The sequence below is a fragment of the Homo sapiens genome, chromosome 16 (assembly GCF_000001405.40).
Source record: "Homo sapiens chromosome 16, GRCh38.p14 Primary Assembly".
NCBI classification, from domain to species: Eukaryota; Metazoa; Chordata; class Mammalia; order Primates; family Hominidae; genus Homo; species Homo sapiens.
The window spans coordinates 88,033,691-88,051,010 of record NC_000016.10 but is presented as its reverse complement, the minus strand read 5'-3'; the positions used below and the strand labels follow the sequence as shown (position 1 = coordinate 88,051,010).

Here is a 17,320-nt window from a genome sequence, read left to right as displayed (position 1 = left end):
CAGCAAGCAGATGAGAAACAAGCAGGCTGGGTGTGGTGGCTCACATCCATAATCCTAGCACTTTGGGAGGCTGAGGCAGGCGGATCGCTTGAGCGCAGGAGTTTGAGACCAGTCTGTGCAACAGGGCAAAACCCCGTCTCTATAAAAATAAAAAAATTAGCAGGTCGTGGTGGTGCGCACCTGTAGTCCCAGCTACTCGGGAGGCTGAGGTGGGAGGATTGCTTGAACCTGGAGGCAGAGGTTGCAGTGAGCCGTGACTGCACCACTGCACTCCAGCCTCGACAACAGAGTGAGACTGTCTCTAAAAACAAAAAATTAAAATGAAAAAACAGCCAATACACACCCCTCACACTTATCCAAATGATGGGTTTCTGAGTGCAGATGCTCTTACACAATCAGGCTCACTCGTGCCTGGTCCTAATTCCGCCAGGTCTGGATGAGACTCCTGTGGGCTGCAACGCCACTTAGGCCGCTGGCAGTTCAAGATGCTCAACACAACCATTAACAAGTGTGTGTCTTAAAGAGGCACAGCTATTAGTTTAAAACCATCTTGTCGGCTGGGCATGGTGGCTCATGCCTGTAACCCGAGCACCCTGGGAGGCCGAGGCAGGTGGACTCCTTAAGCCCGGGAGTTCAAGACCAGCCTGGCAACATGGCAAAATCCTGTCTCTACAAAAAAATACAAAAATCAACTGGGTGTGGTAGCCCGAGCTGTGGTCCCAGCCACCGGGGAGGCTGAGGTGGGAGGATTGCCTGAGCCCGGGAGGCAGAGGCTGCAGTAAGCCAAGATCACACCACTGCACTCCAGCCTGAGCAACAGGGCGAGACTGTGTCTCATCGATTAGCTGGCTAGCTAGCTAGATAGCATCTTGGCTATGTTTAGCTGGATCTATCCCTGTTAATCTTCACTGACACATCAGGAATAAGACCGGAGGACAAGGATTCCCATCCCTGTGAACGTGACTGAGAAGCTCACCAGCCGGCCACGCCCACACACCAGCTCTTTCCTGAAGAGGGTTCTTAATTGGAAGAATATCATATTATACTCCAATTAGAACAACACATTTCCTATGCTGTATGTAATCTAAATCCCCAAGAAAACAATTGTCTGTAAAGAAATCAGAGGGAGGAGGAAACATGTTTTCCTTCTGGCACACTGAAACGCATTAGAGATGTCTGGTGTTCGTCGGATGCCGTGTGGCTGGGGCGTCGTGTCACTGAGCGTGTGGCCACAGCACTCTCCATTCCTGGAGTGCCTGAGTCCAGCCATCTCCCCCGTGACTCCACCTGAAAAACCCTCTGAAGAGCTGTGGTGTTTACGAGAGATACTGGTTTTGTCCCTGGTTCCTGGCCCCTAACTCCCACAGCCCTGGTTCGTCTCTTGTTATGATGCCAGGTGTGTGGACCTCAGGGGCGGGCTCTCACCCTCCTTTCACTCTAATGATCCCCCTGCTTGCTGACTGTGGGTCTTAAGACCCTCCCATGAGAGGGTCCTGCCCTAGACCCTGGGGAAGGAATGCTAATGTCACGAAGTTTCCATAAAAACCCAAGAGGGCAGGTTCAGTGAGCTTCCAGGCAGCTGGTCCAGCAGGTCCTGGAGGATGGTGCCCAGGGAAGGCCTGGAAGCTCTGTGCCCCTTCCCCCGTACCTCGCCGGGATGTGTCTCCACACCCGTAGCCTATGTAGTATTCTTTATGATAATAAACACAGTAAACAAAAGTACTTCCCTGAGCTCTGCAAGCCACTCCAGCAAATTAATCAAACCCAAAGACGGGTCGTGGGAAGCCCAACCTGAAGCCGGTTGGCCAGAAGTTCTGAGGCCCGAACTTGCAACTGGTGTGGTTGGGCGGCAGTCCCCGAGCCCTCAACCCATGGGATCCGACGCTGTCTCCGTGTCAGAACTGAATTAGAGGACACCCAGCTGGTGTCCACTGCTTGCTGTGTCCAGAAAAAACCCCACGTTTGGTCCCAGCAGTCTTTTTGTGTGTTGATGATGGTCACGGTGTGAGAGCAGAGGAAACATGTGGTCTGCAGAGCTTTGCCAACACCAGAGTCCAGTGCACCGTGCAGTCTCAAAGACCCCGCACCCCACACCTGACGAAGACACTGACTTCAGCGCCTTCAACCTTGAGGTCAGAATCTGTGGTGAGCGCCAATTCGATACCGAGAACACTGTTAGAATCGATGTCCTTTCTTTAATCTGTGGTGAGCTCCTATTCCATACCGAGAACACTGTTAGAATCCACCTCCTTTCTTTAATCTGTGGTGAGTGCCGATTTGATACCAAGAACACCGTTAGAATGGACGTCCTTTCTTTAATCTGTTGTGAGCGCCGATTCAATACCAAGAACACTGTTAGAATCCACCTCCTTTCTTTAATCTGTGGTGAGTGCAGATTTAATACCGAGAACACTGTTAGAATCGATGCCCTTTCTTTAATCTGTGGTGAGCGCCGATTCGATACCAAGAACACTGTTAGAATCCACCTTTCTTTAATCCGTGGTGAGCGCCGACTCGATACCGAGAATACTGTTAGAATCGATGTCCTTTCTTAAATCTGCGGTGAGCGCCGATTCAATACCGAGAACACTGTTAGAATGGACGTCCTTTCTTCTGGCCCCTTCTTTCCTCCATTACTGAAATCCAACCTCCCATATCGTGTCTGCGCTTTATTTAGTTCTACAATTGTGCTGCAATCTCCTCAATGAGGCAGATTAGTTATTTCTCCAAATGATTAGATGCTTCCGGAAAATTATTTTTAGTTGGCTAAGTCTTCAATCACATCAAATTAATCAGAACCATAGCAAATGTACCTCTTGCTATTTTAAACTCTGGTAAGTGACTATCCCCTATATGATATACCAAAATTCTACTCATATTTCAGTGTCCAAATTGAAAAACTGGTATGACAAAGTCACGGCCAGCTGCGGAAGCCACACAAGTCAGAGGGCCCAGCAGGCCTTGGTGCTCTTTGAGCCGGCCCTGCACGTCCCATCACCCATCAGCTTTCCTGCCCTCCCCAGGGGACAGCCCCCTAAGTCCCAGTGTTTGCTTCGGCCAAGCCCTTGCGGACCCTGCTAATCAGGGTTAAATTCAGATAGAATCTTCAAAATGTTTAAGTGACAGGACATAGTCATAGCAGTGTAAAAAGAAAGCACAGTCAAACCCAACATTTGGGTGCATTACTGCCAAGTACACCAAACATAGGAAGGAGTTCACTATGTACCACATTCCTAGCTCACTGGTATTTTAAATCCTCTGAGGACCTGAACGTGGTCTGCAGGAGTGCTCTGTGCTCTGTGGGGAGAACAGCTGTTCTGGGTGACTATTAGGAGTACACTAGGGCTGTTCCCACTAAGAACATCAGACTCCAGTGAGGCCCGGCGCCCTGAATTACTGCCCTTCTGGACATGTTCAGGAGGAGTCTGGATTTGAATAAGGATGCCACCTACAGCCATCCCAGCTCACACCCATGGGCACTGATCTTTGAGCTCCAATGAGGGCTGAAAGAACAAACATGCACCCTGTTCCATTCTACCAAGCCTGACTGATGCACACCCAAGCAGGGGGCCAAACTCAGCTTCCTGGTTTGGGGGAAGGAGCAAGGCCCATTCACTGACGTGCATGAAAATACTGCCTTGACTGACACTCTCACTACCTAACGGAGATGTGGGGAGAAACTGGCAGTTTTCGCCAAGGAACTGGGGCAAGCATTCTTGGCCCTTCCCCACCCTGGTGGTATCTTACTTTGGGCCCTTCCCCACCCTGGTGTCCTGCGTTACGTGACCCGCATCAAGCCCAAACTCCTGGCAGCCCCGGGAGCTCTGGCTTGGGATTTTAAACAACACAAACAATGCCACCTCCCACCCAGGACCGCACGAGTTCATGGCTCCCTAAGATCACCAAAACACGTTCACATGATAAGGATTTTTTTTTTTCTTTTTTGAGACGGAGTCTCGCTATGTCGCCCAGGCTGGAATGCAATGGCGCAATCTTGGCTCACTGCAAGCTCCACCTCCCGGGTCCACACCATTCTCTTGCCTCAGCCTCCCGAGTAGCTGGGAGTACAGGCGCCCACCCCCACGTCCGGCTAATTTTTTGTATTTTTAGTAGAGACGGGGTTTCACCGTGTTAGCCAGGACGGTCTCGATCTCCTGACTTCGTGATCTGCCCGCCTCGGCCTCCTAAAGTGCTGGGATTACAGGCGTGAAGCACCGTGCCCGGCCAACATGATATGGATTTTAAAGAACACAAACACAACACGGTGAAACCCCGTGTCTACTAAAAATACAAAAATTAGCCGGGTGCGGTGGCGGGTGCCTATATAATCCCAGCGACTCAGGAGGCTGAGGCAGGAGAATCGCCTGAACCTGGGAGACGGAGGTTGCAGTGAGCCAAGATGGCATCACTGCACTCCAGCCTGGGCAACAGAGCAAGACTCCGTGTCAAAAAAAATAAAAATTAAAAACATTTTTAAAAAATTAAAAAAAGAACATAAACAATGCCAACTCCCACCCAAGACTGCACGAGCTCACAGCTCCCTAAGATCACTAGAGCACGTCCACGTTATGCTGAGTATTTCTTTACCAAACCGTTTAATTCACGTGAAAGAATGAACTTTGTAGTCAGATTGCTTTACAGCGATGAGGTTCAGATGACCTGCTTTAAAAGGTTCCGTCCTGGTCATCATTTTCACAAGACGATACTTCCTAGTTAATTAACTAATGCTTTGAGTACGCAGTTTTAAAACAGTATCTCTAAAATCACACACACACACACATTCACACATGCAAAAGGCAGAAGTGAAAGGCCCACCTCCGCGTCAGGAGGCTCTAAGGGCCGCAGTCCAGTGACGTCACTCAAATGAGTTACTCCTCGTATGTGCACAGGGTAAAGCTTCTGTCTGCAGACCACAGCCCGCCTACTCACCACCTGGGCACCAGTGCCAGTGTGGTCAGTTTTTGAGGATGTGCACCGCCCCTCCCTGAGTGCTGGAGTGTGGACGGCACCTGCCAAGGGCAGCCCGGAGGCTGGTGAGTGCCAGGTGGGCCGTGTGCGCCCAGCGAAGCCCACCAACTTCCTGAGCAGGTGCTGCTGCCACCCCACTGCAGTGAAGAGGGCACTGAAGTACGAGGAAGCGACACTGCCAATCCCAAGACGACAGACACTGAGGGAGCGGCCGCCCTGAGACTGGGACACATGGCAACTCTCCCACCCCCCACCCATCCAGTTCTCTCCCAAAAGATCTGCCAACCACAGCCGGGCCCTCATCTGTGGCCAAGAAGAGTATTTGAGGAGGTGGCCTCAGGGAGAAGAAAGGTGCTGTGGTCAGGGTGGCACCACACCTCCAATTCTCCACTTTACTCACAGGCTCCCCCACCTCTGGCTGGTCTGAATGCCCGGCATAGCAGGGCTCTGTGGGGAGTGAGGGGAGCGCTTCTCTGCCGGGAATGAACGAGGGAGTCCAGCATGTTATGTTCGACAGGTGCTGCACAGGGAAGAAAGGTCCTTCCTGTTGCTGGAAGAGCCTGGGCTCTGGCCCCCAAGGGCTGCTCCTGCTGAGGCCCCTTAGCACAGCCCAGCTGCAACTGAAGCGTTCCTTTGGCCCCGGCCTCTCCTGCAAGAAACGCTCAAGTGCACGCACGGACAACTCGGTCAGAGGCTTGTGGATGGCGTAGAGGGGCATGGACAGCTGCGGCAAACATCGAGCCATCTTCCGTCCCATGCCCACCATATGACCAACAGAAGGCCAGCCATGCCAAAAACCTGACTGCAGTTCTCAGGAAAACTTCATTCTAATGCCCAAGTGACACGGATAATCCTAATTTTCCTGATCTAGATGAAAAGCCCTGAGAAGAATGCTAAACATTTTTTAACTAGCACATTTATAATCATTTTTCTTAGATTGAATGTGATTTTTTTAAAAGCTTCCCAATTCAAGAACAATTATCTTTTGATTTATCAAAATATGAGGAAGAATATTAATATTTGCAGTGTAAACTTTATATAATTGTAAATTTTTTTTTTTTGAGACGGAGTCGCGCTCTGTTGCCCAGGCTGGAGTGCAGTGGCGCGATCTCAGCTCAATGCAAGCTCCGCCTCCAGGGTTCAAGCCATTCTCCTGCCTCAGCCTCCCGAGTAGCTGAGACTACAGGCGCCTGCCACCGCACCGGCTAATTTTTTGCATTTTTAGTAGAGAAGGGGTTTCACCGTGTTAGCCAGCATGGTCTCGATCTCCTGACCTCGTGATCCACCTGCCTCGGCCTCCCAAAGTGCTGGGATTACAGGCGTGAGCCACCGTGCCCAGCCTATATAGTTGTAAATTTTTAAAAATTACTTAATTACACAGGTGAAGTGGTGCACACCGATAGTCCCAGCTACTCAATTACAACTTTTAGAACTACAAACTCTTAAGAAAGAGACATTAGCGATCATCTATTCCAGTATTTTTCAAAGTGTGGGTTGCAAAATCAATGCAATGTGTCATAGCCAGTTTTCAAAGAGACAAAAAGGAAGAGAAACAGAAAAGCAGAACAGAAAACAATAAAAAATATTAGTGCAATCAGCACGCAGTAATACCGTTCTGTGGACCTGTTCCGACCTTGTAAGTGCACACACGTGAGCGAGGGAGGAGGGCTCTGGAACCACAGTGGAAAGCTGCCTTCTCGCTGTGGCCTGTTGTCCTGTGGACCTGTTCCGACTGTGTGTGTGCACATGCATGAGTGAGAGAGGAGGGTTCTAGAACCACGATGGAAAGCTGCTTCCTGCTGTGGCTTGCGCAGATGCTGGTAGAGTCCAGCCATGCAGCCCGCGTGCACTCATCACTCCAGAGGCAGCATCGCCGCAGAATGCGAGTTGGCCTTTATAGGGAGTCTGCCCAGGTCACACAGCACTGGCTCAGGGTACCCACGGCAGCAAAGCAGCTGCACCAAGATGCGGGTATGACCAACCAGCGGTTCCCCTGCCAGCCCCCTGAAGTGGCCAACTGGTCTATCCACCTTATGCAAAAGTTCCCATGACCTCATAAAAAAACCATCAATTTTCATTTAAAATGCACTCAAAAATAAAGTCATCCACCTCCCTGCAAATTTCAATCCTTACAACTCTTAATTTTTAAGGGCTTTTTTTGTTTTTCAGAATCTTCTGAAAATCTGCACCAAATTAAAGATTCTATTATCCTTACCACTAACTGAAAATTGAAATTCCTTAGACAATAAATTATTTTACACTCCTGGCACCGTCTGTCTGAACGTACTCTCTCCCTCTATGAATCTCTGGCACACCAGACTGCCTCTCCCCGCTCCAGGGAATTTCAGGGAATTCCAGATGCCCCTGATTGTGGTCTAATTTACCATACAAGGCCTGTCCTCTACTCAAACCAATTCTGCAATCCCTTAAGTTAACCATATGGGCAATACAATAACACCTCTACCTAAATCATTCCGAATTTCTACTATGATATCATTTGATCTTCATGCCCAGGGCAGCAAATGATTAATTTCAAATACTCACTGAGCAACAAAGCCAACACTACAGGGATTGTGCAGTAAAGGAAAATGCTGCCCGGATGCCTCACACCCCCAGTGAGGCAGGGACAAAAGAAATCAGCACAGTGTAGTCAGCTGACGAAGGAGCCATTTCTCCACAACTCCACTCTCAATGAAGAAGCACCCAGAACACAGCCACAAATGCATCTAAACAGCCAAAGACCCAGGCTCAGCTCTACGCAGCTCACCCGAAGGAGCTACCCATGCCTGGAGCCATGACCAGAACCAGCCACTGCATTTTAATTTCAACTCCAACAGCAGTGGCTGTTTGGCTTCCCTGGAAGGCAGCAGATTAGGTGCATGATGAGGATGCGGCGGAGGGCAAGAGGCGAGGAGGGCAGCACAGGTCCACACACACGGGCTCTGCTCTACAAAGCCCGAGACTGAGACTCTCACTTAGGCAGCTCCCACAGTGACCTGAATGCTCGTTGTTATTCAGGAGGAAAGATAATACACAACCTTTGAAACCAGCCAAAGTGGTTCCAAATAATTTTTTAAGTATTTTAATTTTTTGAAAAACCATTGAATTGTACACTTCATTTATTTTGAGACAGGGTCTTGCTCTGTTGCCCAGGCTGGAATGCAGTGGCACAATCACGGCTCACTGCAGCCTGGGCCTCCTGGGCTCAAGCAATCCTCCTGCCTCAGCCTCATGAGTAGCTTGGGACTACAGGCACATACCACCAGACGTGGCTAATTTTTTTTTTCTGTAGAGACAGGGTCTCGCTATGTTGCCCAGGCTGGCATCAAACTCCTGGGCTCAAGCGATCCTCCCACCTCAGCCTCCCCAAAGTACTGGGATTACAGGTGTGAGCCAGCACAAAACATTTTTTTTAAATATTCAGCTGCAATTTCAATGTCAGTGTTCTAAGGAAGCCCTTCACCTTCTCTTCCCTCTCCCAGCCAGCGATGCTGGAACAGTGGGGCACGACAGCATGTGCACCTAGAGGTCAAAAAGAACAATAAAGACAGAGATAGCACTGGAGTGGAAACTGGTCATCATGGCTGGGCAGCTGGCAAAGCAGAGGCCACAGGGGCCCAGAGCTGAGAGGAAGTGAGCGCTCCTGGAGGGGAGGCTGAGACACAGCGCTGGAGGGCACAGCTCGGGGAGGAGGAAGCTGGCACCATGCAGCCAGTGCGTCCCCACACCTGCGCACCCGCCACCGTCCCCTGAACCTCATCTTCCCAAATGGCTCTTTATGAAGCCTCTGGTGCTCTGCCAATCTTTCCAAACTTCTTGCCCGCATTTGGGATGCACCATCCGCTACTGCTACCCCCCAACACTGGTCACAGGAGGCTGAGCACCGGGGGCTCCGTCTGACCTCACTGGACCCAGGTGCCCATGGCCTCCGGCCTTGCACAGGCAGTCACCCTCCCCATGGCTGTGCCATTCGCTGTCCTGAGGCCTTGGTGCAGGTGGCTCTCCCGACCCCTCCTACTGTGTCTCTCACCCTCCTACTGCGTCTCCCACGCTCCTACTGCGTCTCTCACCCTCCTACTGCGTCTCTCACCCTCCTACTGCGTCTCCCACCCTCCTACTGTGTCTCTCAGGCTCTGTGGTTCTTGCGCACTCCCAGTGTGCCCAACAGGGCCTGAAATGGACTCTAATCAGCATTCCTTAGTGCAGGCTCACACTCACCTGCAGAGCACCTGTCAGCAGACAGCCTCAGCCAGGGGAGCCCTCCCAGAGTCAACGAACAGCTGTGAGTCCCATCCTGCCTGCAACCCAGCACCAGATGTAAGCGCGCACCACGACTGTTGGCAAAGAACCAGAGGATGCGGGTGTCGTGGGCTACAGGGAAAGGAGGTCGAGGCAGCCCTCCTGGAACCTCAGTATCAGAGCAGACAGAGACGTAATGGCAGAAAGAGCGTGAGACAGGGCATTCCATCTCTCAGCAAGGAAGAAAAGCAAGGCTGCTATGGACATGAAACTGACCACATAGCTTCAAATCAGGCGATTCTTCATATTTTCTACTCAGACAGCAAATGGCAACTGTGGGATGTGACTAGAATCTCTCAATATTTAATTTGAAGAAAACATGACTCAAAAAGAATGGTCCCCTGGCAGCAGGTGCCACAGGGTCACACCAACGCAGCACAATGGCGCTTCCCAGCACCGCAGCCACCAAGGCCCTCCTGGAACTGACGTTGCTGCTGGCTGCAGACGTGGCCTCAAACCCGTCGCCCCGGCAGCAATCCACAAGCACAGCGCACAACCCTCCCTCCGTGGAACTAAGAATGGAGGCTATTTTCAGAGAAGCTGTCCACTGATTCTGAAAATAATCAATTAACTACAAGAAGTAATAGCAACAATCATCTCAGAAGTGGAATAGGAGGAGAACGGCAACAAGTGTGAGCCCAGCACAAGGAAAGGGGCTGGGGTGCAGGATGTGGGGGCACAGGGCACAGGGCACAGGCCCCAGCCCCATGACGGAAAACGGATGGCCGGAAGAGGGAAGGCCTGGCCACCCTCCCAAGAGGATTTCTAGCTGCTCTGTCAGATTCTGAGTCTACTGCCACATAACCATTCCTAAATGACAGTTGGAACTAGGGAATCAGAAGGGAATACTAAGCCAATCCTCAGTGATCTAGGAACTTAAAACAGCCGCGTCCATTTCTTTGTGTTCTCTTACTCCGGTTGGGGTGCTGTTCCTCGCCCTCCCCCAACCACCTGGAACAAGCGTGGGCTGCAGGGTCTCCCATCAATCAAGCCAGTGCTCACACCAGGGCAGGCCAAGGGCCTCCGGGACAGTACGGGGAGCTGAGCCATCTGCAGTGTCACATGAAGGATGCTTCTGAGATCAAGTCTGGCTGGAGAAGAGAGAGCCCTAGACCTGCATGCACTATCCTCCTGTGGGCATGGGGGTGGGGAGGAGAGGGAATGGGCCGTGTGACCCCCGCACTGCTCGGGGCTTCTGTAGGCACGGGGACGGGGAGGAGAGCGAATGGGCCGTGTGACCCCCGCACTGCTCGGGGCTTCTGTAGGCATGGGGACGGGGAGGAGAGCGAATGGGCTATGTGACCCCCGCACTGCTCGGGGCTTCTTAGCCCAGTCGACAACATCGAGGCGAGTGGGCTTCTCTGTGCTTTCTGAAACATCCTTCTGTCTCCCAAACGTGTGGCCAGCCCGGAGGACGAAGCCTGCATGAGCAGGGTGTAGCTCAGCAGGAATGAGAACTGGCCAAATGATGGAAAAAAAAAAAAAAAAGGATTTCCACAAATGGAAAACGAGGGGGTTCGCTACACAGATTCACCAGAAAAGGCAGCTTCAGATGAACACAGCGGTTTCTTTAAATCACACAGCAGTTTCCTTCCCAAGAGAAGCAGGGGCCATGTACCAAGATTCCGCCCGCTACCCTGAGTGGCAGCACCGGCCTCTCCTGAAGCCGTCTTTGATTTGAGGTCCCAGAAATGTGACCGATAATAGGAATCAGGAGCGTATGAGAGTTCACAAGGCGGACAAAAACAGGTGATTTATAAATTATTATTTGTTTCACATAAAAAGTGGTAGTACGGCAGCTTTATTCATTCTGCGGTAAGGCCACTTAGAGAGAGTGGGGACTCAGAGGGGCCACGGAAGACCCGGGAATGAGCAGCAGTTGCGACCCTGCTTGCAGTGCAAAGGCACGTGGGGCAGCAGCAGTGACGGAGGAACCAGAGACACCAGAACAGAGTCTTGTTCAGAGAAATCCAGACAGCAACTCCTCCGACGTCAGCCCCGAGTCCTTCCTGAACTCAGATCTGTGCTGGAGCCAACGGGCCTCCATGCCTGCTGAGAAAAGCTGGAATCTCTGTCCCCACAATAAAGTTGGGAGAATTCTGTCTACAATCATAAACAGAAGCACTGCAGTAATACAGTGTAAAAGGCTGGTTCTGTCTTTAAAATTCCAAGTGGATTTTGTTCAGGGGTAGAGACAGGAACAAGGGAATGTCGAAGGTGACGTGCCTTACTTTTCCTAGGAATTAAACGTCCAGCAGCGTTTCAACTATGATACAGTTCCACTACCAGCAGAACCATAAACCACTATGTTGCAGAAAACGAAGACGGACCGCCAGCTATGAGCCCTGTCCTCTGCTGCCCCCGTGACCGTGAGAACCACGGGACAAAGGCGCGGAGAACTGACCTGCACTGCGCCGACCGCAGCCTCATTACCCCAGTGGAGTGAGCACAAAGCCACAACTGTGGATTTAAAAGCTGCGCATTCCTTTGGCTCTTTTCCAGAGCAGCAATTCATACTTACAGACGAGCGATGCTGCAGGACTACCTGAGAAAACCTCGTGCTGATCTTTAAGATGAAACTTTCCAACTAAGAAACTCTGACATAAACCAGTTCTGGAGGGTCTGCAGCCCTTCTCCCAAGGTGCCTCTGAGGGGTCAACGGAAAGCCCACGGGAGCACATGCCCTTCTGTCCCGCTCTGTGTAAAGCACCTCGCTCTGGGAGTGCACCAGGCTCAGTCGGGTCAGAGATCCGCAGGGCCTGGCCTTGACAAAGAGAACGCATGCAGGTTTCTCGAAGGACAGTGCACTGTGGTTTTGAAAAATTAGTATTATCTTTCTACGCAGTGAGCTCTGTTTATGGTTCTCACTGTCAACTTCCCAGCTTCTGTTTTATGAAATGGGAAGATCACCCAGATTCTTCAGTGATCCAGAGGTGACAGCCATCTCCTGAACAGAAAGGGTCTTCACCAGGACCTAGGAACACACAGCCTCAAAACCACCAGCGAGTGGACTCTGTCCTGCACAGCAACACCCTCCCCAGGACCCGCACCGTCGGAGCACGTCATTTTGTAGAGACCATTCGTACTGGGGTGTTCAACCAATGGTCACTCTTTTCATCAAGGATTAGAAAGCTGGCAAGTTTGTGAGTTTGACGGCAATACACAGGAGCGAAACCACCTTTTTCTAACAGAGTTATCTGTGCAAACATGACCACCATCAACATACGCATGCGTGTGCAGAAAATAACCATCTGAAGGGGGTGGGGTGGCGGGGGTGGGAGGGCACGTTTCCGCCATAGCGCAAAAGCTGCTGAAATCCTACGGAGCAGCAAATGTAACCCCCAAGCCCTGCCCTCCCCCCTTCCAGGCCTGTGCATTGTCATGGTGAGGAAAGCCAGTCCTGCTCTGGGGCTCACACTGAGAGGCCTTTGCACCCTCGCTCCCTCCCGCGAGAGCCCCCATTCCTTGGCAGCACCATGGCCTGTATGTGAGAGGGGGACTGTGGCACTCACCTGACCATCCGCCCCCTTCCCATGAGAGCCCCACCCCTCGGCAGCGCAATGCCCACAATGACCGTCCCACCCCTCCCGTGAGAGCCCCACCCCTCGGCAGCGCAATGCCCACATGTACATGGGGACCAGGGCACTCACCTGACCGTCCCACCCCCTCCCCTGAGAACCCCATCCCTCGGCAGCGCAACGCCCGCATGTGCATGGGGACTGGGACACTCACCTGACCGTCCTGCCCCACGTGATGGATCTGGAGGTTGCCCTACAAAGAACGAGAGGAGGAGACGGTCATGAGTAGAAACACACCAAGACACCCTCAGACACGGCAAACACGCCAAGACACATCACAGGCCACTTGAGAATAACAAGAAAACCCCAGTTCTGCAAAAATTCAACCTCCAGTAGCAACAAAAGCCCCAAAACAAAATATTGACATTTCTAGGTACTATTTATTATTTTAAAGATGAACAAACAACTCAAAAAGCATTGTACTCATTCCCCTACCCTGACCCCAAATGAAAATGTCATTTTTACTTCATTTTTTATTTTGAAAGAATCTGACTCACAAAAAGTACAGAAAGTAGCAGAGAGACGTCCTATGTGTGTGTCGCCCAGCTTCCCCGAAGGGGGACGCCTTGCTGAGCTGTGCGGCATCACCACGCCAGGTCACGGGCTGCACGCAAGGAACCAACTCACTCAACCACAGAGCTACTAAGAGCTCTCCAGTTAGAAATTCATTTTCATTTGTTGTAAAAAGGAACTGTGTTGTCTGTCAGACCCTGCTAAATGTTTATTTGCAGATATCCTGTTTTAACAAAATAATTTTAAATGAACACGGTATGAATGTATGGTGACGAGACTGCATACTGTCACTCATCACAAAGCCATCGTTAGTATTATTAGCAATTTCTAACTTACTGCATTCAATTCCTATTGAAAACGAAAGACAATCACCTATACAAGATGGATTCAGTTTTGAAAACTGATGGATAAAACTAATAATAAAAAATTGAAATTCGAGTAGTCAAGATTTTTTTAGCATAAACTATAAAAAGCAAATGTGTGTTGTTTTTTTTCTTTTGCTGCTGTTTCAATTTTCCTGCATTTTCAATGACTCTAAGGAAATTAAGCATTCTGACGAACTTCATAGGCTTCCAGGTATTCAAGAACTCTGGCTGAGCTCTTTGGCAGTGAGCTTAGCCTCCCAGCCCACATCTGTCTGTGCCTTGAGAAGCAAACCTTCCCCTGCCCCTCAAAGGCAGCTCCTGCACTGGAAGGTGCTGCTGGGATCCTGCACCTCGCAGCCACTCAGGCCCCCAACTCCTGCACCTGACCTCGCTGAGCTGACAGGCGCATCTCCTGACATCTCCAAGGAGATGGTCCCTGACCCACCCACAGACACAGAACAGGGAAGGCCCTGCTCCTTCCTGGACACTCTGGCCTCCTGGGACCGTCCCCTACCTGCTCCCCGCCCTGCTGCTTCCTTCCATCCATCCATCTGACCACGTTTCTTAGTGACCTGGTCATGTCGCTGTGTGGATGAGCCCACTCATTCCCAGTCGCTCACGGCCCCCACATGAATTCGTTCCTCCCCTTTCACCTCATCCTCATTCCGCCCTCAGAACCCTTACGCATGTGCTCCCCTCTCAGGATAACCCACCGGGAACTGCTGGTGTCCAAATTAAAGCCACTGCCAGCAGACACGCCCGAGTCCCTGGTGCTCCACGTGCCACGGCGTGCATGTGTCCACAGTCTTGCTCACGGGCACTTGGGCAGGAGGCTCTGCGCCCGCTGTGAGTCCCCGATGGCAGGGCTTCTCTCTCCTCTGCTCCCCCACAGCACCTGCACCCAGCATGAGCTCCCAGGAGGCCTCGCACGCCAACATCTCCATGAGTCCCCTTGACCTCAGCACCCGGGCTTCCTAGTCTCTGCTGCTGGTGTGTGTGGGGAAGCCTGAGATCTTTGCAGCGACACACTACTATGCACCAAACACAAAGCTGGTGCCATTGTCACGACCTAGAAACAGCCATGTTCCTCATCCCCCAGAGCGCACCACGGTCACTGAGTACAACACGTGTGTGCTGCTTAGTGCCCTGTGCCTGCTGCTGCCTGTGCTGCAGGAAACAGCCCAGAGTCGAAGGACGGTCACCCGGGAGACAGTCCTGCTCTGGCATGCAAACATGGAGCATCGCAACAGGCTGGCCTCGGCTTTCCAAGAACTCAGACTGTCACTGCCGCCTTCACATTCCAGACCCCAACAGCAGCTGAGCCCGCACTTCTGAGTGCGTGGCCGGGTAGAGCTCCAGAAACTGAGACAATCACAGACCCAGCAGGTGCGTCAAGGGCTATGAGCAGCTCTCAGGACTGGCAGCATCACCTTGTGGGATTCCCCACCATCCCATGAAATCGGCACTAATCCCGTAGAGGCCACTAGGAAGCTGGGGCCACATGGCAGGTGAGGGGGTATGTCAGGTCACCTACGCAGGGGCAGACCCCATCTCGGCCACACTGGGGGCCTCCCCTGGCAGGAAGGGCAGGGCCAGACAGGGAGAGAAGGGTACTCAGAGGGCACTTCCAGCCAGCAGTAGAAACATCTACCCAGGAGATCTTTACCAAGACAGACCAGAAGCTGTGGAGACCAACGGACAGGAGGGGGAGGCAGAGAGGCCACAGAGACTGCAGGCCCGCTATGTGCACCCTGGAAGCGGAGTCCTGCAGCCCTTGCCCACGTTCCCTGTCCTGGGGGCTCCCTGCTGCCCTCGCACTGTGACACCGATGAAGGTCGGGAGCATGTGGGCACGGTGCCTGCAGGGACAGTGCTGCAGCGAGAGCTGACTCACCTCGCTGTCCTGCGTGATCTGGACTTGCTCCCCCTGCGGCACCTGGGCGATGTGGAGGTGTCCCTGTGGGATCCGCAGCAAGAAAAGACACCAAGAAGCATCAGAAGAAAATCAAAAGCAAAGGAAACAAGAAACATCTTCCGGAATGTTTGTTCTTGATTATCTGTTTACAATTCAAAAAGATAACTAAATCCTGAATAGTGCAATATAGTCTGTGGTCACTTCTTTAAATTAAGCTTTTGGTTCACAGTAGTCCCCCTCATCCATGAGGGTTTCAAGAAGCACCCCCTACCCCCACCACGTGGACGCCAGAAACTGTGGATGGTGCTGAACCCCATATATGCTATGCTTTTTCCCGCCCATATGTGCCACACAGCTTGGACATGCTGGACAAAGGAACGACTCACGTCCCGGGCTGGACAGAGCAGGACGACCAGACTTCATCATGCTACTACTCAGAAGAGTATGTAATCTGAAACTTACAAATTGTTTATTTCTGGAGTTTCTCATCTAATATTTTCAGATCACAGTTGACTATGGGTAATTAAAGCCTGGGAAAGTGGAAGCATGGGTAAGGGGGGGCTGCTGTGTAACACAGAACATTTTCCAGCACTTCACAAAGGAGCAATAGGTCCCAGGAAAGATATTTACATCTTTAAATGTTACTAAACAAGTAAATTTTAAAATGTGCATGACACACAGAAAAGAGGGGAAATAGAAAATCACAATGACACCTCTTTTCAAATGATACGTTCAGCTCTCTGGGGATACTGGGAGGCTACGCAGTGTGTGGCTGAAGCAGGGGAGCTGTTGGCGTGCCTACACTCACAACAGGGCAGGCAACGTTTTTCAAATCAAAGAAACACTCATATGACTATTTAGACAGTTTCAGTAAACACTAATAAATGTGATTCAAAAAAAATCAAAGAATCCACTGTTTATACATATGGGCAGACAAATAATTCCTATAAACCTGTAAATGAAACGAATACTCCTTATCTTATTTGAAATTCTCTCTTAGTCGAAATGGATCTTAAAATAAACTCCTGTAGAATGTTCTATGTAAGCCTTATGACAAAGTTATCTACTCTGGAACGCTTTCAAAGAACTTCTTACTAACAAGATGAGAGGAACTGCCGTTGTGAATGTCAAACAAATTAATAAGCTTATTAAATAAGATTCACTATTCATAACTGTCTCATCTCCTTTGGAAGAGGAAGGGTAACGCCCCCTCTAAAAGCCCCAGAATTTTCCGGAAGCCTTCCCTCTTCCAGACAGCATGCTGAAGCCACACTGAGATGAGAGCCACGCCCCACTCTCAATAGTGGAGGACCATGTTTCCAGGAGAAAGCCCTGGTGACACGGAGGCACACGATGACCTGTCTTCAGAGGGCCCAAGGGGGCTGGTGCCACTAAAAACATAGGCGAGGTCTAGTGGTGCATGTAAAATTTCTAGTCACTCAGCAAAGCTTCCAGAAAAGTCTTCCTTCCTTCTCAGCCACGCCCTACTCTCATGCCACAGAATCCAGGAGGTGTTTGTAGAGGGACTTCACCCGGGAGCAAGCCCCTAGGCGCATCAGGCTGACCACAGCTTGGGTCACAAAACCCCAATAGAGAACTCCGCACGGGCAAGGCAGGACATTGACTTGCTGCTGGGACAGTGCCCGCCCAACCTGGGTGTGCTGAGTAACTCCAAGGGACACG

General features: G+C 51.2%; 1 protein-coding gene across 32 annotated transcripts in view, besides 2 other annotated features; it reads right to left on the bottom strand.

Moving 5' to 3' along the window:
- BANP (BTG3 associated nuclear protein) overlaps positions 1-17,320 on the bottom strand; it is a 128,081-nt gene that overhangs the window by 26,308 nt on the left and 84,453 nt on the right. For 16 of the 32 annotated variants that reach the window (NM_001384941.1, NM_001384931.1, NM_001384918.1 and 13 more), the window contains 2 exons: positions 15,617-15,679; positions 13,000-13,038 (listed from right to left, as the gene is read on the bottom strand). In NM_001384941.1, coding sequence (NP_001371870.1) covers positions 13,000-13,038; positions 15,617-15,679 — 102 coding nt within the window. Of the gene's footprint in view, positions 1-12,999; positions 13,039-15,616; positions 15,689-17,320 lie in introns of all 32 variants that reach the window. The other 16 variants (NM_001384936.1, NM_001384925.1, NM_001384916.1 and 13 more) reach the window with 1 other exon arrangement.
- Positions 5,617-6,118: an enhancer, noted in NCBI's record as "H3K4me1 hESC enhancer chr16:88078499-88079000 (GRCh37/hg19 assembly coordinates)". NCBI's record gives its function as "activates a minimal SCP1, AML or CMV promoter by ChIP-STARR-seq in naive H9 embryonic stem cells {active_cell/tissue: H9 hESC(naive)}" and the evidence as "EXISTENCE:reporter gene assay evidence [ECO:0000049][PMID:30033119]".
- Positions 14,894-15,394: an enhancer, noted in NCBI's record as "H3K4me1 hESC enhancer chr16:88069223-88069723 (GRCh37/hg19 assembly coordinates)". NCBI's record gives its function as "activates a minimal SCP1, AML or CMV promoter by ChIP-STARR-seq in primed H9 embryonic stem cells {active_cell/tissue: H9 hESC(primed)}" and the evidence as "EXISTENCE:reporter gene assay evidence [ECO:0000049][PMID:30033119]".